At 53.4% G+C, this 26636-nt stretch overlaps 1 protein-coding gene across 11 annotated transcripts in view, besides 8 other annotated features; it reads right to left on the reverse strand.

The window, feature by feature from the left end:
• HSF2BP (heat shock transcription factor 2 binding protein) overlaps positions 1-26636 on the reverse strand; it is a 214517-nt gene that overhangs the window by 44337 nt on the left and 143544 nt on the right. For 2 of the 11 annotated variants that reach the window (XM_011529443.3, XM_047440674.1), the window contains one exon: positions 8622-9110. The exons of 5 other annotated variants lie outside the window; for them this stretch is intronic. In XM_011529443.3, the coding sequence (XP_011527745.2) occupies positions 9074-9110 (37 nt within the window). In that variant the 3' untranslated portion in view covers positions 8622-9073. Of the gene's footprint in view, positions 1-8504; positions 9111-26636 lie in introns of those variants that run through there. 4 more of the 11 variants (XM_017028267.2, XM_017028270.2, XM_047440677.1 and 1 more) reach the window with 4 other exon arrangements.
• Positions 3089-3944: an enhancer, noted in NCBI's record as "H3K4me1 hESC enhancer chr21:44912277-44913132 (GRCh37/hg19 assembly coordinates)". NCBI's record gives its function as "activates a minimal SCP1, AML or CMV promoter by ChIP-STARR-seq in naive H9 embryonic stem cells {active_cell/tissue: H9 hESC(naive)}" and the evidence as "EXISTENCE:reporter gene assay evidence [ECO:0000049][PMID:30033119]".
• Positions 5301-5595: an enhancer, noted in NCBI's record as "tiled region #13752; K562 Activating DNase matched - State 25:Art, and HepG2 Activating DNase unmatched - State 5:Enh". NCBI's record gives its function as "activates a minimal TATA promoter and a strong SV40 promoter by Sharpr-MPRA in K562 cells, with weak activation in HepG2 cells {active_cell/tissue: HepG2 | K562}" and the evidence as "EXISTENCE:reporter gene assay evidence [ECO:0000049][PMID:27701403]".
• Positions 9479-10383: an enhancer, noted in NCBI's record as "H3K4me1 hESC enhancer chr21:44918667-44919571 (GRCh37/hg19 assembly coordinates)". NCBI's record gives its function as "activates a minimal SCP1, AML or CMV promoter by ChIP-STARR-seq in primed H9 embryonic stem cells {active_cell/tissue: H9 hESC(primed)}" and the evidence as "EXISTENCE:reporter gene assay evidence [ECO:0000049][PMID:30033119]".
• Positions 13701-14510: an enhancer, noted in NCBI's record as "H3K27ac-H3K4me1 hESC enhancer chr21:44922889-44923698 (GRCh37/hg19 assembly coordinates)". NCBI's record gives its function as "activates a minimal SCP1, AML or CMV promoter by ChIP-STARR-seq in primed H9 embryonic stem cells {active_cell/tissue: H9 hESC(primed)}" and the evidence as "EXISTENCE:reporter gene assay evidence [ECO:0000049][PMID:30033119]".
• Positions 14626-15238: an enhancer, noted in NCBI's record as "H3K4me1 hESC enhancer chr21:44923814-44924426 (GRCh37/hg19 assembly coordinates)". NCBI's record gives its function as "activates a minimal SCP1, AML or CMV promoter by ChIP-STARR-seq in naive H9 embryonic stem cells {active_cell/tissue: H9 hESC(naive)}" and the evidence as "EXISTENCE:reporter gene assay evidence [ECO:0000049][PMID:30033119]".
• Positions 15239-15849: an enhancer, noted in NCBI's record as "H3K4me1 hESC enhancer chr21:44924427-44925037 (GRCh37/hg19 assembly coordinates)". NCBI's record gives its function as "activates a minimal SCP1, AML or CMV promoter by ChIP-STARR-seq in primed H9 embryonic stem cells {active_cell/tissue: H9 hESC(primed)}" and the evidence as "EXISTENCE:reporter gene assay evidence [ECO:0000049][PMID:30033119]".
• Positions 18857-19358: an enhancer, noted in NCBI's record as "H3K4me1 hESC enhancer chr21:44928045-44928546 (GRCh37/hg19 assembly coordinates)". NCBI's record gives its function as "activates a minimal SCP1, AML or CMV promoter by ChIP-STARR-seq in naive H9 embryonic stem cells {active_cell/tissue: H9 hESC(naive)}" and the evidence as "EXISTENCE:reporter gene assay evidence [ECO:0000049][PMID:30033119]".
• Positions 22039-22734: an enhancer, noted in NCBI's record as "H3K27ac-H3K4me1 hESC enhancer chr21:44931227-44931922 (GRCh37/hg19 assembly coordinates)". NCBI's record gives its function as "activates a minimal SCP1, AML or CMV promoter by ChIP-STARR-seq in naive H9 embryonic stem cells {active_cell/tissue: H9 hESC(naive)}" and the evidence as "EXISTENCE:reporter gene assay evidence [ECO:0000049][PMID:30033119]".

Here is a 26636-nt window from a genome sequence, read left to right on the forward strand (position 1 = left end):
CCCCCTGTGGTAGGTAGGCCATTCTTGCATTGCTATAAAGAAACAAACTGAGACTGGGTAATTTATAAAGAAAAGGGGTTTGATTGGCTCAGGTTCTGTAGGCTACACAGGAAGCATGGCACTGGCATCTGCTTGGCTTCCGGTGAGGCCTCAGGAAGCTTTCAATCATGTCGGAAGGCACAGGAGGAGCCCATGTGTCGCACAGCAAGAGCGGGAGGGCAGGTGGCAGGTGGAAGATGCCACAGACTGTTTCCCAGCTCTCTCGAGAGCTCACTGACTATCACAAGGACAGCACCAAGCCAGGAGCCACCCCTATGATCCAGCTCCTCCCACCAGGCCCCACCTCCAGCACTGGGGACTACATCCCCACATGAGACCAGAGCGGGACATCCAAGCTATATTGCCCTCTTCAACAGGGAGGAGCAGAGGCTGCACACTGTGTGCTGCTCAGAGCAGCCAGAGACCAACAGCAAACGAAAAGGAGAAACACCAACACCAAACGAAAAGAAGGAGAAACACCAACACCAAACGAAAAGAAGGAGAAACACCAACAGCAAACAAAAAGGAGAAACACCAACACCAAACGAAAAGAAGGAGAAACACCAACACCAAACGAAAAGAAGGAGAAACACCAACACCAAACGAAAAGAAGGAGAAACACCAACACCAAACGAAAAGAAGGAGAAACAGAGCCAGCACAAGGCGGGACCAACCCTGGGCGTGTTCAACAGAGCCCTGCAGCTCTATAATGTTTTAGTTATTAAAGTGAATGTGGCCAGGCATGGTGGCTCACACCTGTTATCCCAGCACTTCGGGAGGTCACGGCGGGCAGATCACCTGAGGTCAGGAGTTCAAGACCAGCCTGGCCAACATGGCGAAACCCGATCTTTACTAAAAAAAATATATAAAAATTAGCTGGGCGTGGTGGTGCATGCCTATAATCCCAGCTACTCTAGAGGCTGAGGCAGGAGAATCGCTTGAACCTGGCAGGTGCAGGTTGCAGTGAGCCGAGATCGCGCCATTGCACTCCAGTCTGGGTGAGAGTGAATGAGACTCTGTCTCAAAAATAAAAATAAAAAATAAAAAATAATAAAGTTAATGTAAGAATAAGGGGAACTTTGAAAAAGCAGTTTTCTTATCATTTAAGGCTTATTGGTGTAACTACATCTCCTTAAACCATTAAAACCATAATCAATGATTTAGGGTGAGTGATTCTTCCAAACACCTTAAACTTCTTGAAAGCAAACAAAACACACAAACATATAAACTGGGTTCCACACAATCAGGGTTTGCGTCATCTATTTGTTTCTCTGCTTGTGTAAACCACCCTAGCTTATAACACTGCCTGTTTTGAAGACTTCTTGGAGTTTAAGTAATATTACGTTCATACTTTGCTGGGGTTACAGAAGACCTTTGTGACCCAAAGGAAAAATGTTACCTTTTCAGCCTAATGGTGATTATGGGATGAATAATCCACCTATTGGCTGATTTTTAACTTAAAAAAATGTTTTCGAGACAGGCTCTCACTCTGTCACCCAGGCTGGAGCGCAGTGGCACCATCCTGGCTCACTGCAACTTCAAACTCCTGGACTCAAGCAGTCTTCCCACCTCAGCCTCTTGAGTAGCTGAAACTGCAGGCATGTGCTACCACACCTGGCCAATTTTTTCTTCATAGAGATAGGGTCTTGCTCTATTGCCCAGGCTGGTCGCAAACTCCTGGCCTCCAGTGATCCTCCCATCTCAGTCTCTCAAAGTGCTGGATTACAGGCATGAGCCACAGGGCCCGGCCAATTTTTGACTTTTTATTAGGAAATTGCCAAATATATACCAACGGAAAGCAAAGTATACTAAACACCCTGTACCTGTCAGCCCTGCAGCCCTCATCACAGTGGCTGGTGACCAGTGGCCTCTCATCTGTACCCCATGGCACCCTGAGCCCCGTCCCCACGCGAGCACCACTGGCGTATTTTGAAGTAAATCTCTCCTTGCACCACCAACAGTGCAGCAGAATCTCTAAATGACAGCTCTTTCTAAAAAATAATCACGATCCCATTATCACACCCCAAAATAAGTAATTCCTTCATACCACCAAAGTTCCCAACTGCCTCATCAATGCTTTTGGTAGCCTCTGTCTGTTTGGTTAGTTTATGACAATCAGGGTCCAGGCAAGGTCTGCGTGCTGTGTTTGGCGGCTAGAGCTCATCTACCTTTTTTTTAATCAACAGACAAGATTCCTTCTCTTTTTCCTTTCATTGATTTGTTGAGGACAGGACACCAGGTTGTTGCCGGGTCTCATGGCCTGTGTGTGGCTGGGTGCAGTTCAGCACATTCCCCTCTGTGCCTGGTACACCAGTGCGTAGAACCAGAGGCTGGCCTCATTCAGGCTGGTCCCAGTGGGGCCGTGTGATTCCCAGCACGTCCCATCCGAAGGCGCACGGCGTCTGGTTGTCCCTGTCCTTCTGATTAGATCGATTGGGGTCCATCTATGGCCAGCCTGCCTCACACCGTGAAGGCCCCCGACAGCCTGTCGCCTCCTAATTTCTGCAGCCATTGAGGACCAATGCCCACATCTGAGATTTCACTGGAAGTTGCAAAATGGCAATATTTTAATTCATTCTTCATTTATTAGCTAACTTTTTTTTTTTTTCTTTTTGAGACGGAGTCTCTCTCTGTCGCCCAGGCTGGAGTGCAGTGGTGTGATCTCGGCTCACTGCAAGCTCCACCTCCCGGGTTCACGCCATTCTCCTGCCTCAGCCTCCCGAGTAGCTGGGACTACAGGCACCCGCCACCACGCCCGGCTAATTTTTTGTATTTTGAGTAGAGACGGGGTTTCACTGTGTTAGCCAGAATGGTCTCAATCTCCTGACCTTGTGATCCACCCACCTCGGCCTCCCAAAGTGCTGGGATTACAGGCATGAGCCACCACGCCCGGCCTATTAGCTAACCGTCTATGAAGAACTTTCCATCATCAACTCTTTGTTTGCCAGGACAAGCAGGATACATACTTGATTCTGTCCCTTTATGAGTTTTCAGAATAAGGTGATCCCCCACCTTTTTCAAGGTGAAGGAGTTATTAATCACCTTTTAAAAAATACCCATGACGGCAAGCAGCGGTGCAGGCCATGCAGCATAAGGCAAGGTGGCCTGGGTGTGCAGAGGCCACAGCCACGGAGGGAGTCCAGGGAGGAAACCGCGCCATGGAGACCTCAATGAAGCCAGGGCCTGAGCCTGGCAGGAAAGGGGACGTCACGTACCAAGGTCCCGAGGCAGGGGGGACCTGAAGATGGACGTGTGGTACAGGTTACCTGGCACAGCAAGGGAGGTGGCTGGAGCCTGAGGGACGGCCACACGGGCAGAGAAGACACTCGGGGCTCTCGTCTCGGCTCCCATTCTGCCTGCGCTGGAGCTGCAGCTGCTGCCCGGGGCACGGAGAATTCGAGGGAGAGGCTTTCCAGGCAAGTCCAGGGGAGTGAGAGACACAGAAGTTAAGGGTCCCTTGAATGGTGATTAACATGACAGCCATGCAACCTGAACAGAGAAGAGGGAAGGGAGGGCCAGGGCAACAGCACCCCAGGGCCATGGGAAGCCAGCAGGCGTTGTGGCTGAGCTGGGGAGAACAAACACCGTGAAGGGGCCACTGAGGGGCCCAGCCAAGGCAGCCAGGCTGGCTGGACAGTTCGGGAGGGCCTCATGGGCAGCTCTGAGGCAGGGGCGATGCGTGGCGGCAGCTTCACGGTCCCTGAGGGGCAGTGCCATCTCCCCAAGGCTGCGAGCCAGGGCTTCCCTGTGCCCCCCACTGTTGCCCCTTCTATGCCCCTAGCCCTTCTGATGAGTCAGCTGGTGCCAGGTAGGAGGGGGGATAATTTACAACCAACATTTGCATTTTAACAGGAACGTCCTTGAGACAATTTCCTAAAGCAAAAGAGCGACTGTGGTGTTATCAGTAGCCACCATGTAGGCGTCAGCTCCTTAGTCCAACTGCCAGCCCCTGAGCCACTGTTTTCCCCTTTCGTGGAAGAGGAAACTGAGGCTGAAGGTTGAGCAGCATGCCAAGATTCCACGAGAGGGCAGCCGGAGCCCAGCCACCCTCCTCCAGTGGCTGCCACACCCTGGGGGACCTCACCAATCCCTGCCACTACCCCTACCCACTGCAGCCTAGCCCTTGGGTGGCAAGAGAGGGCAGGGTCAGCAGCATAGCTGGATAAACCGACCATCAGCAGAGACCCTGGGACCCCTCAGCCATCGCCTGAGGGAGGCTCCTCCGGATGGGACCAGCTGGCCTAGTGGCTCTGGCCAGGGCTGCAGGGAACAGGATGCTCCCTCTCAGAAGCCGACTCAGCTCTGCCACGCGGCTCAGCTCTGCCATGTGACTCAGCTCTGCTACGTGGCTCAGCTCTGCCACAGGGCACAGGATGGAATGCCCCAAGATGCCGCAATGCTCCTCCTGGTCCTCCAGTTACGCGGCCTCCCCTTGGATGTTTCTAACAGTATACGTGTGCTTGTTTCTGGGGCTCCCCCGAGTGGGAGCCTGGGAAGGACCAGCCGTCCACAGGGCCCTCGGTCTCTGCCCCAGCCGGTGGTAAAGTGTGGCTGCGGCTGTGCTACCACCTCCAGGTGAGGGGCCAGCCACAGGTGGTCTTTTGTGTGATGGGCTGTCTAGGGAGGCCCTGCTGCCCATGGGTGCCATCGATTTGCAGTGCAGGGGCCCATATGACCCTGGAGGAAGGACGTCCTGTGAGCCTTGAGCCTGTGCAGCAGCCCAGATCAGAACCACACACTGGAAACCCCCTTCAGCTAAGGTGGTCTCTCCCCCAACACAATCCCCCTGACCAAGACTTCCTGACGTCCTGAGGGTGCGTCTGCCTTCCAAGGCGAACATCTCACACCAACTCTGCAGCCAGCAAGTTTGCGTTAGAAGCTGGAAGCCTGCTGTTGGGGGAGCAGACCAGGACTCCTCACACCCCAAGAGTGGCTGCTAGACACTCCCTAGCATGCCCCGTGCCTGTCTGACCCCATGAAGCCTGACCCTGATCGCCGAGTGTGGCTGACTTTCTGAGCCCCTAAGGAAAAACTCCAGAGTGACCCTTAAACTTTGTAAAGGGCAAAGAGGCCTGTGGGCGGAGACGGGGGAGGGGTTTCTGCTGGGTCCTGCCTGAACAGGTCTGAGGCCAAAGGATCCCTAGGGCCGTCCTGGGTCAGAGTGAGGGGGGGCACACAAGCCCTCAGGACCCACCAGGCGAGTCCAGGGAAGGCCCATGAAGGTGGCCACCGTGAGCCTTGTGGTCCACAGGGCCAGGCTGGCACATGCTGTGTTCTCACCCAGAAAGGCCGTTCCAGCTCCTTCTGGACTCCTCCTCCTCCTCCCCAGTGTTCTCTGTCTCTCTGCCCACCCCGCTCTCTGTCTCCCTCACACACAGAGTATAGAATTGTGGGGAGATGACTCTGTATTTCCTCATCGTGCATTTATCACAGTGACTCATCCATCTGTGGCTGCTGGGTGACTGGCAGGGTTTGCGTTGAGCTTCCGAGTGAGGTTGATTCGGAAGAGGAAGGCATGACTGCCTGGCTATTAGCAGAATGTCCGGCGTGGGCAGTGCCACCCAGCTGTCGACACTGACACCCAGGCAACCCTGACAGGTGGCCACAGGGGGATGTGTGTGTACGCAGAGTTTCTCAGGACTCAACCTTCTTAAAAAGGAGGTTTGCAGTGAAGAGCACAGGGGTACCCATCGGGAGAGGACGGAAATGCTTCCATCAACCCACTGGGTTTGGGGAACAAAGCAGAAGTGTGTTAGGGCAGGTGTCAGACCACCTGCGAACCCTGGGCTGCTGGAGGCCTGGCCTCTTGCACGAGCCTCTATCCACTCAGATTCACGGCAGGATCTGCCCCCGACAAAGGACTTCACCTGGACCGAGCTCCTGGGCCCCAAGCAGCTGACATTTGATTCTCGCAACAACTGTGCAGTAAGTGTGGTTACAGCCCCCACTCCGTGCCCAGAAAGTTCCACCATCTGACCAGGCAGGCGCAGAGACCCATGGCGGGGCAGGGCAGAACCCCCCGCCCGTGAACATCTCCCGCCCCAGCTTCCCTTTGCGGGGCGCCGCAGCACTCCTGGGTTCTCCCCCTCCGCGGGGCGCCACAGCACTCCTGGGTTCTCCCTCCAAAGGGGAAGAATGATGGAGACGGCGAGAATCTGCATGTGCCCGTGGCTGGCAACTGCTTGTGAGAAGGAGACCAAAGTCATCGGCTCATATCAGGACTTCCACCTGGCCTCTCCCGGAGGCCACCTCGCTTGGACAAACTCAAGTTTCCAACTGAACTAGGAGAAGAGCAGATGCTTGCTTGAAAGAGGGATCTGTCCCAGGCAGACTGGCCCACATTTCAGTGGCAGGGCAGCAGCCCTTCCTGAGATTCTCTCTGAAATGATTTTTTGACTAGGATGTGGAGAAGACACACAGAAAGAGAGGTCTTTCCGAAGCAGTGAAATTTTACAACAATTCAAAGCTGCTACCACTTGCTTTGGCTGGGATCCAGCTACTGAAATCCAGAGACATCTATGAAAACACCCCTAATGTGAACCTGCTGCCCGAACTCCAGCTCACTCCCTTGTCCTGTGGAGCACGGACTCCCAGGAGTGGTGCTCTATAGCCCCAGAGAGCACCCAGGCCAGCCAGCTGATTTCACCCATCTCTCTCTCAAACACACGTGCACACACACACACACACACACACACGCACACAGCACTCCCCTGCCACACACTATCACTCACACATGCTGACACACAAAGGCATCCAAATTGGAAAAGAAGTAAAATCCTCTGTTTGTACACCGAAAACTAAAGATTACACACACACACACATCTGCTAAAACTAATAAATGAATTCAGCAAAGTTGCAGCATACAAACTCAACCTGCAAAAATCAAGCTCATTTCTATACGCTAACAAATGGCAACCCAAGAACAAATGAAGAAAGCAAGTCCATTTGTAGCATCAAAGTGAATGACACACTTAGAAATTAAACAAGGAGGTGAACGATTTCTACAATAAAAACTACAAAATGTTGCTGAAAGACATTAAAAAAGACATTAAAAGACATCCCATGTTCATGAATTGGAAAACCTAATATTGAGATGTTAATACTACTCAAAGCAATCTATAGATTCAACGCAATAACTACCTACCTAAATCCAACAGCACTTTTTAAAGAAATTTTAAAATCCATTCTACAATTCATATGGAATTGCAAGGGACTCTGAATAGTCAAGACAATCTTTTTTTATTTAAAAAACTTTTTTCCATCTTTTTTTAGAGACAGGGCCTTGCTCTGTCACCCAGTCTGAAGTGTAATGGCATGATCATAGCTCGCTGTAGCCTCGACCTTCTGGGCTCAATTGATCCTCCTGCCTCAGCTTCCTGAGTAGTGCGATCTCAGCTCACTGCAACCTCCGCCTCCCAGGCTCAAGCAATTCTCCTACCTGAGCCTCCCAAGTAGCTGGGACTACAGGTGCACACCACCACATCCAGCTAGACGGGGTTTCACCATGTTGGTCAGGATGGTCTTGATCTCTTGACCTCGTGATCTGCCCACCTCTGCCTCCCAAAGTGCTGGGATTACAGGTGTGAGCCACTGTGACTGGCCAATTTTTTTAAAATTGTTTATTGTAGAAACAAGGTCTCTATGTTGCCCAAGCTGCTCTCAAACTCCTGGCCTCAAGCAATGTTCCCACCTCAGCCTCCCAAAGCCCTGGGATGACAGGAGTGAGCCACCACGCCCGGCAATCAAGGCAATCTGGAAAGAATAAAGTTGGAAGACTCACACTTTCATATTTCAAAACTTACTACAAAGCTACAGTAATCAATGGAGTGTGATACAGGCATGAAGACAGACATATGGACCAGTGGAATACAACAGTCCAGAAATAAACCCTGGCATGTATGGCCAGATGATTTTTGATGAGAGTATGAACACCATTTAATGGGGAAAGGACAGTCCTTCCATCAAATAGTGCTGGGAAAATTGGAAATCCAGTTAAATTTTTTAAAAAAGTGAAGTTGGATCTTTACCTTACACCGTATACAAAAATTAACTCAGCCAGGCATGGTGGCTCACACTTGTAATCCTAACACTTTGGGAGGCTGAGGTGGGAGGATCACTTGAGGCCAGGAATTTGAGACCAGCTTGGGCAACATAGTAAGACCCCATCTCTGTCTGTAGTCCTAGGTACTCACCTGAACACATGTGGTCCATCCACAAAATGGGATATTACTCCGTTTTTAAAAGTAGGGAAATTCTGACACATGCTACAACATGGATGAGCCTTAAGGTTTAAGATGGTAACATTTTTTTTTTTTTGAGATGGAGTCTTGTTCTGCCGCCCAGGCTTGAGTGCAGTGGCACGATCTCAGTTCACTGCAACCTCCACCTCCTAGGTTCAAGCGATTCTCCTGCCTCAGCCCCCTAAGTAGCCAGGACTACATGTAGCCATCAACACGCCCAATTAATTTTTTGTATATTTAGTAGAGATGGGGTTTCATCATCTTGCCCAGTCTGGTGTCAAACTCTTGACCTCAAGTCATCCGCCCGCCTTGGCCTCCCAAAGTGCTGGGAATACAGGCATGAGCCACCGCACCCAGCCACAATGGTAAAATTTGTATTGTGTATTTTACAGTAATAAATATGCCAAAGGCTAAAAAAAATAAAGGTACAGTGGCCAGAGGAAGAAGGGCCCAACCTGGAATTGGAGCAGAGCTGTGGGTGGGTGAAGACCCCGTGGTAGGCAATGCATTTTAGCTGATGGGGTGCAGTAGTGTGTGCCGGGCAAAGCGGACAGTTCCAGCTCCCACATCCAGGCTGCAGGGCCTTCATCCACCCAGCTGGGAATGCCTGCTCACTCTGCAGGAATGTGCAGCTGCTACTCACCCCGTCTTGTGACCACCAGCAAATGGTTTGTTGGTGTTAAGCTGTGGCCTCAGCCACCTCAACAGGGCCCTGTCTGGCCATGGAGACGTTCCCCAAGTTCCAGTCATTGTCAGCTGCTGGGACACTGCGGTACTGAATCAGCCCGTTGGAGTCATCCAAGTGTGAAAAGGTACCTGAATGAGGGCAGCCTGGGGACAGGAGAGCTTTCTGGAACATGGGGCAGGAAGGTAGCCTGGACTTCTGAGACACAGCCACTGGCCCTGGCCCTGGCCCTGGCCCAGTGCCCGGGAGCAGCCTAGCCTCCTCCTCCCAACACCCCTGCTCCCAGGCGCCAGGACAAGGGGCCAGAGGAGACCCAGATGGCCCAGATCCAATCCTTCCATGGTCCCCTGGGTGGGGCCAGTGCAGGGACCTCCCGGAAGCCACTGCTGTCTCCATCGCCACCCAGACTCAGGCCAGTCTGAGAACCCAGGATTAGGAAGTCATCTCTGAGATGATCGGGTTAACACTTTCACGTGGTGGGTTAACATCTGCTGTTATAAACTTCACCGTAAACACACACTGTGCCTTAAGACGTTAGCTAATGAGAATACAACAAACACATAATTTTAAATGTACACACACACACACAAATAGCTGGGTGTGCAAACATTTTTTACACTTTACACAAAAGAACTCGGTGGCTTCTAGGCTGGAAGACGAGGCCCTCTGAGTCCTGTTGGGAGCGTGGGGTGTGATCCTGGGACAGAAGCCTTCAGCTGAAGGGGTGGGCAGGATGGAGGCCCTTCCACCAACAGAACCCTGAAAGGGACTTGGGACAAATGGCCAGCCTGCCCGCAGAGGGCCTGGAAGGGCAGGCCGGGAGCAGAGGAGGCTGCTGTCTAAATATGAGGCGCTATTCCTGGCGGCCACATGTTCACATTGCCCACAGAGCCCAGAGGGCAGCTCCGGACACAGCCAGGCCTGGGGGAGGGGCGAGCCTGGTATTATGGGAGAGGGTGGTCAGAATGCCACCAGCCAGGACTGATGCAGGGTGAGGACAGGGGACCAGGCCTCCTCCCACCTGTGACTCTCCCTGTCCTGCCCACCCACCCACGGAACCACAGGAATGTGCTAGGGATTGCAGGGGATGTTGTGCCCACTCTGCTACCTTCCATCCCTGTGCACTGCCCTACCAGCCCCCTCCCCGCACCTGCTGCAGGGGCCCCGGGGGTGCCAGGGCCTGCCCAGGTCCCAGATCCAGACTTTCAAGGTGTGCAAATCACAGGATTTGTCCTAACAAGAGGGAGGGAAGCTTCCAATGTCATCTCCCTGCATTTCTGAGCCACCGAGGACTTCAGAATCACTTAAAGGTAGTGCAATTCACCCCCAAATCACTTACTTTTCCAAAAATTGGGGCCAGCTAGGGGGTGTCTGGGATGCAGCGGAAATCACCTATGGGGAAGTCAGTGCTGTAACAACAATGCTGGCTTGATCCCTTCCTGCCCCCCACCTGCTCACACACCACACACTCATACCACACACTTATACCACACTCACAGCACACACCACACTTATACCACACACGCTCACACCACACATGCACACTCACACCAAACTCATCACAGCCACATCACACACCATACATGCATACACGCCACACTACATGCACACATATCACACACAGCACACATGTATACCACACGTGATCACACTTATACCACGCTCACCCCACACACTCCACGCACCATACATGCACACACATCACACATATACCACACACACACCCACACACCACATTCACACCCTACACAGCCCACACACACGCTGACACCACACACACCCCAAACACACCATACATGCGCAGACACCACACAACATACATGCACACACCACACACTGCATTCACACTACACACATATACCACACACATACCCTCACACCACACACGCGCACACACACTCTACATACCACACATGCACCCCCCACCCCTCACACACACATGCATACCACCTCCCACCACCCTACACACATAACAGGTTATTCATTCTGGGTGACGGGAATATGGGGGTTGCTCTTATTCACTGTACTTTTTGACTTTCCATACTTCTCCAAATAGAAATAAAAGAGGAGGGCGGAAGAGGAGGAGCAAATTGGGAGTAAAAGAGCAGGTGCTGGGAGCTTCCCGTGGCTCAGGGGTGGCTTCTGGAACGGGAGAGAGCAGGTGACAGCGATGAGGTAGGTCTGCAGAGGAGCCGTGTGCAGGAGCAGAGATGGAAGGGCCAGCGCGCAGGCAGCCTTCGGACTCGGCTGCCCAGCTGGGAGGGCTGTGTCTGCACTGACACGGGTGTCAACAGCAGGGGCGACCTAGAGCGAGTCTGTAAGAAGGAAGGCCGCGACGCCTGCAGGGACCCAGGCCCTCCCAGCCTTAGCACAGCAGCGCTCCTGGCCAAAAACCCAAGTGCCTGCTGCTCACTGTCTCAGAACCCACTTCGAGTACAGAAACATGTCTGTGCATGCACGTGTCTACACAGGTGTGTTTCTGGGGTGTGAACACAGTGCATGTGTACACACACACGTGTATGTGTGTGCATCTGTGTGCCTGGTTCAGGATGTATGTGCACGGACAGCATATGCACAGGGAACACGCTTGTGCCTGAGTGCGCTGGGGTCAGTGGTGCTGGCCAAGTGAGAATGGGGGTGGGCATGAGGGTGCTGGGCGGGGCCAGGGCAGGAACTCATGGAACTGGAGGCCTGTCTTCCCCCTGATACATTCCAGAGGCGGGAGGGGGTGGACAGAGTCTGGGGGCTACTTCTTCACCCCAAGCGCTGCCCTCTCAGAGGACCCAGTAGAAACCCACACAACACCCAGTCTCTGTCTGAGGGGAGGATGGGGTGGGAGGACCCCCTCTAAGTGCACTGTGACTTTGGGAAACACACTTGTTCCCCCTTATCCGCGGTTTCGCTTTCCATGGTTCAGTGTCCTGAGGTCAACTGCAGTCTGAAAATATTAAGTAAAAAATTCTGGAAATAAACAATTTATAAGTTTTTTCAATTGCCTGCCATTCTGAATGGCGTAATGAAATCCCCTGCCGTCCTGCTCTGTCCCACCAGGGACGTGTAGCATCCTTTATCCAGCATCTCCACAGTGTCTATTTGACCTGCCTGCTAGTCACTCTGTAGCTGTCTTTTTTTTTTTTTTTTTTTTTTTTGAGACGGAGTCTTGCTCTGTACCCAGGCTGGAGCACAGTGGCACGATCTCGGCTCACTGCAACCTCTGCCTCCCAGGTTCAAGTGATTCTCCTGCCTCAGCCTCCAGAGCAGCTGGGATTACAGGCGCACGCCACCACACCTAGATAATTTTAGTATTTTTAGTAGAGATGGGGTTTCACTATGTTGGCCAGGCTGGTCTCAAACTCCTGACCTCAAGTAATCTGCCTGCCTCAGCCTCCTAAAGTGCTGGGATTACGGGATTATGGGTGTGAGCCACCGCGCCCAGCTGTAGCTGTCCTGATGATCAGAACAAGTGTTGTGGTATCACAGCACCTGTGTTCAAGTAACCCTCATCCTAGTTAATAACAGCCCCAAATCAGAAGAGCAGTGATGCTGGCTTATTGTTCTAATTGTTCTACTATTAGCTATTGTTGTTAGTCTCTTACTGTGCCTAATTTATAAATTAAACTTTACCACACATACGCATGCAGAGGACAAAACATGGTCTATCTAGGGTTCTGTCTAGGGTTCAATGCTATCTGCGGATTCAGGCATCCACCGGGGATCTTGGAATGCATCCCCTGAGGATAAGGGAGGGCACTGCACCTGGGCACTGTGGCTCCAACTGCTGTTCGTCTGTCATGTAGTGACTGACAGGGCTGACCTCATCTTAACCTGCTTACGTCGGTAAAGACCCTCTTTCTAAACAAGGTCACATTTACAGGCACTGCGGGTTAGGAATTCAGTATCAAGGGGATACAGTTCGATCCATAAGTAAGTAAATTCCCAAGTAAATATGTAACCTCAGATTGAGAAGTGCTCTGGAGAAAATAGGGGAATTCACCAAGGCAACCTAATTATGTTCCAAAATATTCAGAACACATTGCTATTGGAAGACCGTTCTCTATCCTTCCACCTGGACTGGCCTCTGTCCCTCTATCCTCAAACATCCCCTGAGGACTCAGCGTTTCATTCCTTGCTGCCCACGTACAGCCCTGGGGCTCTTTGCTCTGCTTCTGGGGTCTCACGCGGAACTCTGAGGAACATGGACGGCCGTCACAGGAACCTCAGTGAGCCCCGAGCAGGCTGGACAGCAAGGGCAGGGGACTGAGGCTCAACAACCAGCCCCTCCCCCAACAGGCCATGGCAGCTCAGCAGACACTCCCATGCTGCCTCCCAAGGCCAAAAGAGGACGTGTTTGCAAAGGGTGTTGTCCTTCCCCTTGCCTGCAGTGATTCAGCCAGCTGAACGAGAACTCGTGGTCACCTTAGGCAGCCACGCTGGACAAAAAAAACAACATGCAACCAAAAGTCCCCTTTGTCCTCGTTCACAATGCTTCTTGCCTAAATTACCCACGTCTGCTGGAAGACTCGGGCGCATTTCGTCTGTACCGAGAGCAATCAGGAAGTTTGGGGTCTGTGGTGCTCCCCAGCACAGCAAGCCCCAGGGCTACAGGGGAGTCGTTAGCTCCCAGGCCAGGGCTCTGTGGACACTGCGAAGACCGGTGCCTGCTGCAGGTGGAGCAGCTGTGAGACCTCCTGGCTCGTCTTCCCAGGGATGCGGGCTTTAATTTTCCATCCTGGCTGCCGTCCCCTTCCATGACCTGCGCTTATGAATGGCCATGTCCAACAAGTGGCATCACCCCCTCCCACTGTCTCCAAGGAGCCTGCTCTGGGGAACGCTATCTTGTTTTTCTAAAGAGCCACGTCTACAAGCAAAGAGGAAGGTGTGTGGTGCCTTCCAAAGTGCTAGCTGCCGGGAAAGGACACATCCCTCACACCTCCTTTTTGAGCTGCAGAAAATGCAGCTCAGAGATGCCAAGTGAGCATCGCACTCAGGAATGCGCTGTGCCCTCCGTGGAGTCAGACTTTGGCCTCTTAAGCAAGAGCAGGAGAAGACGAGGGGGTGGGCAGCAGCCAGGGGCAGGCGCTGGCACAAACAGATGAGGATCTAAATCCACCTGCTGGTCACACAGCCCTGAGCTGGTGCCTCGCCCCTCACAGCCCCTGCTGCAGGTATATAAAGCTGGGCACGGGTGGACAGGACGCAAAGCAGTGATATGTGCCTCCAGTCAGCCCTGAAGGCCAGGGTGGCAGCTTCCCCTAAGAACAGAGGGCGCCTGGGTGGCTGCCCCAAGAGAACAAAGCAGTGCAGACCTGCAGCTCCCCCTGCAGTGAACAGAGCTCTCTGCAAACGTTCTCTGACAGCAATGTACCGAAATCTCTTCCTAACTCAAGTTTACAAAAATTTTGTTTTCTTCTAGAAATTTAATAGTGTTAGATCACATATGTGGGTCTACGATCTGTTAAGGTTCTGTATGCAGTGAAAAGTATGCAGTTCCACTTTTGTGCCAGTGGATACCCAATTGTCTCTGCTCCATTGTTAAAAAGACTTCCCTTTTCCACTGAATTGTCTTTGAATCTTTGTTGGAAATGTGTGTCTGTATCTGTGGGTCTATTTGTGGACTCATTGTGTTCCACTGATACACTGTCTATCCTAATTTCAACACCACACTGGGATTATGGTAGGTTTATGGTAGGGAGGCCTTCGCCTCTGGCCTGGGGTGTTGACGGAAGCTGCTCCCAGGCAGTGGTTCCTGGGGACAGTAGGGGCAGCAGGACCCCGCTGGCCCGCTCTGCACCTTGGGCCGCCTGCCTCTGCTTCCGCTTCCCGCCACCTTTGCTCCACAAGGTCACAGCCCAGGAGACGAGGCAGACTCCTCCAGATTTATGTCCAACACCCAATCTGGGTTTCTGAAGAAACTTCTCTCGGAAACGCCCAGCTTCCCCGGTTTCCTTTGTTCCCAGAACCGGCAGGGAGCAGAGACAAGAATCATGAGCCTCCCAGCAGCCTGGGCCCTGGGGGAACGCCACCACCCTGCTGTGCTTCACATTCCCCAGCCACAAACGGGGACAAGTCTCCCTTCCCCTCCTGGATCCTGCACTCTGTCCTGGAACCTTCCAGAGAGAACAGGCCCAGAGCCTGCAGAACCTGTGTCACCCAGAACCCCCACTGGCTGCACGGGAGACTCGCTGGGGCTTTTGAAGGCCTACACAGTTCTCTGGCTGTGGTGTGAGGAGTGGTGGAGGCTGCAGGAGGACTGAGGGCCTCCGCTGCGGAGAAACCAAGGAAGGAGGGGTGCTGCCTGCCATGAGGTGGCGCTCAGCCTGCCAGCGCCCACATCACAGGGGCTCCCATCCGCCCGCCTGCCCCGGAGCTCGCCCGGCCTCCATCTCCCCGTCTCGGGACATGGTGACTGCGCCCTCACCTAGTTGCTCTGAGGATAGAAAGCAATCCACCGAAGCCTCATGCAGGCACACAGGGTGGACACGCTCAGAACATAGGCCTGGCAGGCAGCCCCTACCAGAGCCAGGCATTCGTTCACACGCATCAGCCATTCTGGGGGAGGAAGGAGGAGAGGCCCCAACTTTACAAGCCCCGTGCCCGCAGATGAGGGGAAGAAGTAAAGATGGAGGCTGTGGGTCCCCATGTGGCGGGGCCCTCTGTACTCCTGCCCCGCCGTGGCGGATAATGGGAAACCGCAAAGGAACACACTGTGGCCGTTTCTTCGGGATGGACCCGCGCGTCCTCACTGCCTTTCTCTCGGGATCCTGGGGCTCAAGTGAACTGATGCCATCCTTGGTTCATCGTTTGTTCATGTAAGGCTCCCTTGTATTTTCATCCGTTCATTTTAATAACGTGATGAGCACTTGTGAACCTACCCCACTCCAAGAAGTGGACAGCAGAGAAAGCAATCAACATGCTTCTTTCTCTCCCATTCCCACCCTGCCTGGCAACCTCCATCTGGAGTTTTCTCCTTCTCCTTTTTCTTAAAAGTTTTAACACATATACACACACTTGCTGAAAAACACACGGCTTGTTGTGCTTGTTTCCAAGCTGTATGGGACGGAGTCACACAGAGTCTTCGGGACTTGTCATTTTCACTCAGTCTTAACGCTATGCAGCACTGGTGCTGTCGCTGTGGCCTTCGCTCACCGTGGCCAGAGCTGTGTGGGGTTTCCGCGTGCAGCACGCCATGAAGTGCTCCTTAACTCTGGGATGGCACTGGGCTGTGTCTGGCTTGGGGCTGCTCCCAACAGAACTGCCCTGAGATGTGAGCACATGCTCGAGCTTCTCCTGGGGGTGCCTGCAGGGAACCTGCTGTAGAAAGGGCACATGATGTTCAACGTCACACATAGTGCCAAACGGGTTTCCCAAATATTCAGACCGCTGCTCCCCCAGAAGCACTGGGAGAGAGCCACATCCCGCTCAGGCTCGACAGGTTGGACTTCCGAGGTTCGGCCAATCTGGTGGGTGCACAGTGGTCTCCTTACCATCCAGGTTTGCGTGTCCCTGGAGACTAATGTGGTTGACCATCTCTTCCCATGTTTGCCAGCCAAATCACTGAGAAATGCCTGCCAGTCACATATGTATGTTTCTCCATTGGGTTGTAGGTCTTTTTTCTTACTGATTGGTAGGATTTTTTATTTAAATTTCTTTCAGGTGGTTTTGGTAAGCATGTGTTCTTAGCTGGCAAACTTTCAGATCGTACCAACCCTTTCCTCTTTGGCTGGCACTCTTGGGTCCTGTTGAAGACTCCTCACTGCTGCAGGTCCGCGGCTATTCGCTTGGTGCCCTGCTCTGGGGAAAGGCAGCCCGGGTCTGCCCCACTCCTGCCGAGTGTGCCGGCTCTTCCTTCGCGGGAGAAACCCTTCCCAGAAAAGCACCACTGGGGAGAGGCCCTGCCTCCTGCTCGTGACTTAGGACACACCACAAGCTCCAAGGGACCCATCTGCGCAAATGACAACCACAAAGGACACCTCTGTGGGGAGTCATTGATCTCACAAGGCAGGGAGGGGCCTCAAGGGGTACCCCAAAACAAACTGAGCAAATGCAAGCTGGACCCAAATGGCAGGGTTCTTCAGTGGCCCAAAGTGGACTGGGGTACCCAGCACTCAGGAGGCCAGTGTGCACCAAAGCCCAGGCTCGGGAGGACAGAGCGTTGGGCAGGGGCAGAGCCGGCCAGACTATGGTGACCACAAGGCCAGGCCGGCCAACTGGCCCCTCACAGGCGCAGTCAGCAAGACACACATGTGGCCTGTGATGACACAGACCCTGGACTGGCACTCGAAGGTCAGAGCCAGGATAGGCCAGCCCTGTTCTCACAGGCCTGTGGCCAGCAGGACAGTGCAGCCTCAAGGAACAAGCGAACTGAAACACCAAGAACAGCCCCGTGGGTGCAGAAGCCCTGGGCAGCATCAGCGTCAGAACAGCTGCTTGCAGACCCACCGCCCCTCCCTCCCTCTCAGCCAAGTAACTCAGTGCTGCAGCATCTGTACAAGATAGAAGCACATCAGTGATGCCCCACAGCCACCGCAGGCCCCCGAGGCACACAGACATGGCCATTCAAAACAACCCACAAGGGCAGGCAAGGCTCTCTCCAGAAGACCACGACTCATCCCATCTAGACAGGCCAGGGCAGAAGCACAACACGCCAGAGGCAAGCACCCACCAAGACAGCCTGGCTCCACCACCCCCCACTCCTTCTGCAGGCTGAGAGACGGCGACAACAGCACCCTGGCACTGCACCACCCTGGACCACTCCTTGCTGTGCCAGGCTAAAGGACAGCCGGTCCTGCCCTCACAGAGCACGCGTGGCAAGGTCTCCACTGCTGAGACAGCAGTCACCTGGCTCTTTCACTTTAAAACGCCCCTGTGAGACTGGAACAGGAATTAAAAGAAATTAAAGAACGTGTAAGCAGAAACTCAGTTGTAAGAAAACCCAATTCCCCCTGAGAAAGAGACAGAGCTGGAGTCCTTTAAAAATTAACTGCCTGTTTTTCTGTGGCTAGTGAGCTTTATCTCTCCCTTTCCCAGGCATTGTGGAGACCCTGATTCCCTAGCTGTGCAGCTGCAAGGTCACAGATAAACTCAAGTCGCAAAACATGTTTCTCCTTAAAAAGTAAGAAATGACATAATGCATGTCTCAATTAATTAAATAACTGTCTTTGTTTCTCGCTTGTGTAATATGCTTCCCCCTGTACAGATCTCCCCCCGCCCCATGAGATGCTTAAAAGGTAACTTAACTCTTTGTTTGGGACTCAGTCGTTTGGATGTTAATCCGACTGGGCTAGTGCACCTAAATAATAAATATCCTCCTGTACCCCATCAGTTTCTCTGATTCCTTAAAAAATCCCGCTACAAGACAGCGGCCGCTCTGGGCTGTGTCTTTCACACTGAGTTCTCTCCCACCCAGCCTGAGGGATCATCTCCCAACTGCTGTGAGCTGAGCCGGTGCTCACAAGACACCTTAGACCCTTCAGGCTTGAGGTCTGTGCACAGCTACCTTCAATGAAGAGCATAAGTCAAGCTGCTCTTCAATGAAGAGCAGATGCCTTTCACTGCTGAATTACCCAGAGAGGAATTCGTGGTTGTGCCCAGGATGGGAAAGGCTTCCAGGAGCCCCAGGGGTGAGGTGTACTCCATACTCAGTGCTGGAAGCCTGGGGCATCAGGAGGCCCCCACTCTGCCCCTCATCCCCGAGTTCCTGGTCGCAGATGCAGCGTCACACCTGAGAGCCAGAGGGAGGTTTCAGGGTGTAATCTAGCCTGTGTGACCCCTTGTTCCTGATGAACACCTGGAACCCAGGCCAGCAGCCTCCCCTGTGCCCACGGAGTAGGCAGTTGCAAATGCACATGCAGGAAGAAGGAAGTCCTTTCTCTTAGATCCCACTCTGAGTTATTGCTGTGGCAACCATTCCTAACGCTCATCTCCTTTTCTCCAGCCCGTCTCAGAAACACGTGGTGAAGCTCCATGATGAAACGCTCTGACCCACTCTGCAGGGTACAGCATTAGCGTTCAGGTCGGCTTCCTGAGCCCAGGAAATGTCCTGGCCCTGGCACAGCAGTGGGTGGCTGGTAGGGCCCTGAGCTAGGCAGGGAGGCCCCTCCTCAGGCTTCTCTGTTCTTTCCCAACCCTGGGAGGAACACCTGGATGGGGCCACCCTCTGTCTACCCCACTGGCCTCAACAGAATGAAAACCAGACTCATGAGATGCTCAAACTCCCAGGCAAGGATCCCCAAGAACGGCAGAGCCCAGCAGGTGAGGCCTCCCATGAACAGCAGAGCCCAGCAGGAGAGGCCCTCAGGAACAGCAGAGCCCAGCAGGTGAAGCCCCCAGAACAAAGGTGTCTGGCAGGTGAGGTCCCCTGAACAACAGTGGTGTCCAGCAGGAGAGGCCCCCGAGGAACAGCGTTGTCTGGCAGGTGAGACCCCCAGGGATAGAGATGTCCGGTAGAAGAAGCCTCCCAGGGACAGAGATGTCCGGTGTCCAGTGTCCAGCAGGCGAGGCCCCCCAGGGACAGAGGTGTCCAGCAGGAGAGTCCCCCGACGAGCATCCTTCTGAATGAGTGCTCCAGAGGAGGCCCCTCTGGAGGTAGGTGGGTACAGTCTGGTGGCGACATCCTGCATGTGCACGCACAAGAGAAGAGCCCATGCAAATCCACAGGGCGAATGCAAAGTCCTGCCGAGGATCCTCTACTCTCTGCCCGGCCCAGGGGTACGTGGGGAAAGTAGGTGAGGTGGCTTTTCTTTCCTATGGACCAGACCCTGCTGTGGGTCAGAGCTAGGGCCTCAGGACAGCACTCCCTCCAGGAGGCAATTATTCTTGAGGAGTCACTCTTCCAGGGCTGTCTTCCCTAGTGTCTTCTGTGAAGCGCCGTTGCTGCTGGTGAGAAGGAGGGGAGAGGAAAGCCATCTTCAGATGCTCAAGAATCTGCCAGGTGTGAGAGGGACCAAAACTCGTCTCTGCAGCTCCCGAAGACATAGCCAGGATGACAGGGGAAGAGTAAGACAAAGGCGTTTTCAACTCCGTGCGGAGAACTTTAAACAGTGAGAACGCTCCAAGAACAGACAGGGTGAGCTGGAGGTTCCTCTCACCTGTGAGTCTTAGATCCACAGCTGCACATCATACTGTCCCTTTTCAGCCCTGTACTGTCCCCTGGGCACAAGAGCTTGCCATCTGCCCTGCATCCTCACACCAGCTGGCATGACCTCCTTGGGACACCCTGTGGATGCCTTCCTTGCCACTGCACACTGTCCCCTGGCCGACGTCACTCTTGACTTTTATACAAGCCTCGGGGAGTCCCTGAACCTCTGACACCTCTGTTTCCTTTACATTTCCTGCAAATTGAAAGTCTGGTCGGGATCAGTGATTCCCAACTCATGCTCCACAGACTAGAAGGGGCTGGACTAGGGTGGCCCGATGGTCAGACGGGCCTGGGAAATGCTGGGCCAAGCAGAGTAAGCAGGTGTCTCTGCTGTGGATTTCTCAGAGCCTTTAACTGGCACCTGTTGTGAATCTCTGAGAGAGCAACAGGGCTTCTAGGCTCCTCTGCCCCTGGTGCCAACTGATCTGCAACATCAGGTAACATCCCTGTGGTGGGTGAGCAGCAACAATCTGGGCCGGTGGTACTGGGGTAAAAGAATTTACCAAGACAGTTGTAGGCAAAGAAAGGCAGATTTATGAGAGAAAGTATGAAAACGCATTCCAAGGTTGCAATGGGCAGAATCAGCAGAAGAGGAGCCAACTGCAAAGAAACAAAGGCTTGCTGGGGATTTTATAGGGTGGTTCTTAGGCTGCAGAGGGCGACGTGCAGAACTAATAACGCCAAGGCAGCCAGGAGCTAACTTGGAGGTGTCTGGCCATAGCTCGGCCCAGGAAGATCATGAGTTACCTGAGCAGGAGGCCTGCGTGTCCTGGACCATGAAGAAAGTCAACTCTATAGCTTATCTGCTTTCTCTTTTTGCTTGCCCTTGGTCCTGCCAGCCTGACTCCTTTTCCCTAATTAGGACTCCACAATCCCAAGAAGCTAACATTCACAGACACAGGCTGGGAGACATCGGCTGACGCAGTTGATGAGGGTCCCTTACGGCACCAACACCGCTTGCTGAGGCTCTGCTGAGACTCAGAAGGTGCCCTTACATGGAGCCAGAGAACAAATCGAGGCCACAGGGGGAAGGCAGGAAGAGCTGCTTCAAAAGAGAAACTTCAGGCTCCCATGAGCCTTTTAACAGCCTCCCTGCAAGGCAGCCACTGACTGATACCAGCCAGGTGATCAGTACAGGAGAGGACGGGGCCCAGGATGGGGCTATCCATCCGGGAGAGGGGGGTGCTTTACAGACTTTTCCAGAAGGTCCCCAGGGGAACCTTCACAATTCAAGGGCAGAAAGGATGTGAGGTCTGGTGAGGTTCCAACAGCCAGAGAGGAGCCAGGCAGGTCTGTTCAGCTTGAGTGCTTGGCCCATCAGCAGCTTGCGTTGGGTCAGAGCCTTCCTCCCTCAGCCCCAACCCCCTCCCTGCTACAGCCCCAAAACAGACAAGTCTGAACAGGTGTGACTAGAGGGAGCCAACAGGCAGGGTCCTTGGTGGGTGACACATGCTCACTCCCGACACTGACTCAGACAGCAGCAGGGAAGGGAAACCCCAAACCATTCAGGCTAGCTGAGTCAGCAGGTACAGTGTGGCCCAGAGCACGGGCTCAGCCCAGCTGACTCCTGGTACCTTGGGGAGGCACTGGGAAGTTTCAGCCAGGGAAGGAATGACTGCTCTGATTTCTATTTCTAAAAGATCCAACAAGCCACTGGAGAGAGAATGACTGAGGGTGGAAAAACAGTCTGGTGAGACAGAAACTGAAGGAGGAAACCAAATGGCTCTGCTGTTTCTGAGTCCACAGGGCCTGGACACAGAACCCCGCTACTCAGTCAAACTCTTACTCTAGGAGTTGCTGGGAGGGCATGTGGTAGCTCCGGGTGACTTCAAGTAAAGGAGCTTGTCCTCAAACATCTGGGTGGACCTCCTGTCAATAGCTGAAGGCCTTGAGAACCACACGGAAACTTCCCTGAGGAAGGAGAGATTCCTCCCATGGACTCAGTGTCAGCTCCAGCCTGAGAGTTTCCAGCCTCCCGCCTGCCCTGGATTTCAGACTTGCCTAACCAGCACCCCCACAGTTGCATAAGCCAGTTCCTCGCCATATATGATGCAGCCACATTAAGCATGAAACATCTGTTTAGCATCCAAATGTGCCAAAGAAAAAGATTTACACTGATCAGAATTTGTTGGCATTTGATGCTGGAGCTGAGTGTGGGGGCTGCTCTGGAGATGGGTCCAGCCCAGGGCAGTGCCCATAGTGAGATACCCAAGAAAGGAGGCCAGCGTGGTTGGAGGAGACCTGGGAGGGAGCTGGCTCAGGCGAAAGGAGGAGGAAGCACTGGTGCTGGGGGCAGGGGAACTTTGACCCCAGTGTATCCGAGTGTCAGGGGAGGCAGGGGGTGGCAGAAGGGGTGCTGGTATCCGAAGGGCAGGAGTGGACTGATGGGGGATGTGTGCTGTCAATGTTTCCTGAGATGGAGCAGCTGTTCCCAGCCACGGTGCAGCTGCATAGGACAGCCCAGAAGAGGCAGAGCTGAGTGACACCAGGGCCAGCTTTGCCAGATAAGCGCAATAGTGGGCAAGCAGTGAGAACATGAAGGGTGTTCCTAACAGAGTGGCTCTAACACGGTGCTGCCATGGAAGTTTTCTAGGGAGGAAGGGGGCCAGCCGGGGTGAGGCACAGGGGGCTGCTGTGCCAATGGGCAGGACCAGCTGTGCCAGGTCCGGGTGTGGGGCCAGCTTGCTGGGATGTGGTCTTAGAACCAGTGAGAAGAAAAGTAGAAACATGCAGGCAAGGGGTTCCCAAAGGGACTTTTCAGAGGGGTGGCAAGGCCAAGGGGCTGGGCGGCCTGGAAGGGCCACCACCAGGATTAGTTCAGGTTGCCCAGAAGCTAGCACCAGGTGGCTGAGGCCACAAAGAGAAGCTGATGAGGGGCGACAGGGGCAGCCAGGGCATTTCCTTTCTGAACTGTCCCCACTCAGATGAAAGCACCATGACTGACACACATCTGTGCACAAGGCGAGTAGCCATGGAGCAGCTCCTCCGAGAGCAGGCAAGGCACGAGAGGCACAGAGAACCCCATTTCAGAGAACCCCATGGTGGCACACTGGGAGAGAAGGCTCCTGACAGAGGGGCTCTGTGAAGCTCTCTGTGGAGTTGCAACTCGCACACGCGTGCACACATTCATACACTCATACACGTGCACACACATGCACAAACCCCCACACACTCACAAGCCTATGTGTGTGCACACACGTGCATACACTCATACGTAAACGCAGCCACCCCCACCCAGCACCAGGTACCCACCCTCGAACTCCAGAGGTTCCTGGGCACAGGTCCTCGAGCCTGTCCAGGGCCCCAGCTCCCAGCTATGCTCATCCCAAATCGCCCTCGAGACTGCCCAGAGCATGACTCCGGCTAGGGCCCCTCTGGGGGCCTCCCTCAGCCTCCTCCAGTTCACAGACCCTTTCCTGATCCTCAGGGCCAGGGCAGATCCCAACCAGTGAACTGGAGAAGAGGGGCTTGGGACACAAGGGGATAAGAAACGAGTGCCCCAAAATGCTGCAGTAACCATTCGCCTCCAACTTGAATGGCCTATCATCCTAAACGTGAAAACAGATGCAGGTGTCAAGCCGATGCTTAGGGAGATACTCAGCCCTCCCAAATCCCAAGAAAGGATTAGGCCTTCCAAAAAATTCTAGTGACAACTTTCTAGGAAGAGCAGGCCTTTGGTGATGGCTGGTCTTGAGGGCTGGGAATGGATGGCTGAGCTCCAGGAGGAACTGAGCTCAGGTGCAGCCTGTCCAAGGGCAGTGGGAGGCTCCAGTATGATGCTAGAACATTCTGTTGCCAAGGAGAAGGTCCGCCCTCTGTATAAAGTTCAGACAGTGCCCTCCACACAGGCTTCTGCCAGCCCTCATGACCTTGCAGCTGGCCTCTCTGTCCTCCCCATTCTTCACATCCAGCCAGTTTCTCCCACACACGGGGCCAGGGTTGCTCAGCCCTTTATACCCGGCCATAATGAGAGAAAAAGCATTTATGCTGAGGTGATTTTTGCCAAGAAAGAAGGCAACCATGGGCTTGTTTCTGTCATTCCTGCTGCACTAACCCTGTCAAAGTGTGACAGCCACTGCTTCCCAGGTGGCAAGACAAGAAATGCTGGGTTGAGAAGCTGGTCCAACGACCTTGAATTTCTGGAGAGAGAACTGGGAGGCCTTGCTCTTCTCCCTTTTCTGGGCTCACAACCCCAACACATACAATCCTTCTTCCACAATGTGGTGGTGAGTCATCCACACTGGGTGACCAATGGAGGCCTGGTCATTATCCAAACAATTAAGCCTCAACAGACCAATTTATCTGGCCATCCACTGTGAAACATATCTCAGACGTTCTAAAAAGATAGGAAAGAAAAGAAAAATTCAGCCTGTAATCTTAGTACTCTGGGAGGCCCTGGCTAGGAGCTTGAGACCAGCCTAGGCAACATAGTGAGACCCCCATCTCTACAAAAAAATATTAAAATTATCCAGGTGTGATGGCACACACCTGTAGTGCCAGCTACTTGGGAGGCTGAGGTGGGAGGATCGCTTGAGCCAAGAAGTTCAAGGCTTCAGTGAGCTATGACTGTGGCACTGCACTCCAGCCTGGAAGACAGAGTGAGACCCTGTCCCTAAAAAAGAAAAAAACAAAAAAATAAGGAAAAGAAAAAGCCAACCCCAACAGAACAAGACCAAAGCTAGGTATCCTCCTGTTTCCCCAACTTCCTTCTGGGACAGCCTCCCTCTAGAACTTTCTGTCCTCCTGGAAAGTGGCCTTCACTTGAGTTCAGCAACATTTATTGGACACGGCACTTATTTGGTCCAGACACTGGGGACGTAAAGAACACAGCCTGGTGGGGGCACAAGGTACAGAAACCACGAGGCCACGCTGGCCCTCCCAGCCTACTGGCCCCAACCTCCCCTCCAAGTGACACCCTGCGGGTGCACATCCTATCCCTCTGCCCAGAAGCCCCTCTTCCTACCACAGCTCCTTCTCTGACTCCTTGGCAGAGCGTGTGTGTCCTTCAAAGTCCAGCTCAGACACCACCCTGACTGCCAGAGCCCCTTCCTACCAAAAGTGTCCCCTCCGCATCAGTGCTTCACTCTAAGCCCCAAAATCTTTCCATTATGGCCAGCATCTACCATCAACTGCCCAATTCAAACCCCAGCCACTCTTTCTAGAATTTAACCTCAAAATCTGTGTCCTCATCTATAGAATAATAATCGTTGCTAAGTTGAATACCTGTATTCAACTGAATTTGAATGTGTATAGGGAGGCGCATGTGAGACCATTCAGATAACAGGCCATACGTGGTGCCTGCACACACTAGCTCTTAGAAAACATCTGCTAAGTATTCTGATGACTGGTTTGAGTCCAACCCCCTGATCTGTGGATCCCTGAATCTGTAGGGTCTGACCCAGGGCCAGAGCACAGAGTTCTGATATTGATCTGTCACACTCACTGTGCCCAGCATTTTGGAGAGCCCTGCAGGGGACGGGGAGGGGGACTTGCCCTGTAGAGAGCTGGGTTGCTGCCCCATGTGCTTACTGGCTTGTGCATTTCATTCCTCAGGTTGTTTGGGCTTGATAAGTGTAAATTACGTAGCCAGTGCATGAATGATCAGGGATACATACTTTGACCTGCACTGGGGCAGGAACACAGGACTTCCTCCTGGACCTGGCTTCCACTGGAGCAGAGCCCAAGGCAGGGCTTTTCCTACGCATAAAGCTCTGTTGTGGTTTTTAGAAACCACCCCCAGGAAGAGGAATGGCCAAGGGAGCAGAAAGGAGGAAATGTCAGCCCCAAAGTTGCATCTTGAGTTGGTCTCCTCCATGGACAACTGAGGCTCTGTCCTTCAGTGACCCTCTGAGGAGCTGGGGAGAATGGAGCTTGTCTGCACATGCCTTGCTTATAGGAGTGCTGGCCTGGTATGGTCCTGGTATCTCACCCTGCCCAATCTGAAAAGCCCAGGAGAGGGCAAAAGGGGCTGTTGGTCACACCTGCATACAACAGTGGCTGGCGCAAAGATAAGTGTGGAAGCTGTGAGGAGGCATAAGAAGTGTCCGGCGCCCAGACCCATCACTCCGCAAGAGACAGGCCTGTTGGTGTCATATGGAGAAAGACCCTAGAGCTCCAAGCTCTCAGGGTGCCAGACCAAAGATTCTGCAAGACCCTTGTCGGCCTGTCACCCAATGGGTGCTCTCTAGAGGACAGAGGGGTAAATGGCAGAGACACCTGAGGAACAGGCTTTCATGACGCCACGGAGCACCAGGTAAACCTCAGACAAGTCCACACTGTGAGGCCCAGGCCCAAGGGGCAGGGGACAGGAGGAGCCCCATGCCCTGTTGCAGGGAAAATCTGCTGCCCTGGCCCAGCCTCTTTGGGGATGCTGCATCAGGACAGCCTCACCCTGGTGGCGTCGCTTGCCTCCAGTGTGCAATGTCTGCAGGAACATCTGGGTCCCTGGCTAGAACCCCTTGTCCTGCCTCTTGAGTGCTCAGGGTATGCTATGGAAATGCAGACGAATTTTAACAAGATCCCAAGCTAAATGCAA

Source organism: Homo sapiens, chromosome 21 (assembly GCF_000001405.40).
Source record: "Homo sapiens chromosome 21, GRCh38.p14 Primary Assembly".
NCBI classification, from domain to species: Eukaryota; Metazoa; Chordata; class Mammalia; order Primates; family Hominidae; genus Homo; species Homo sapiens.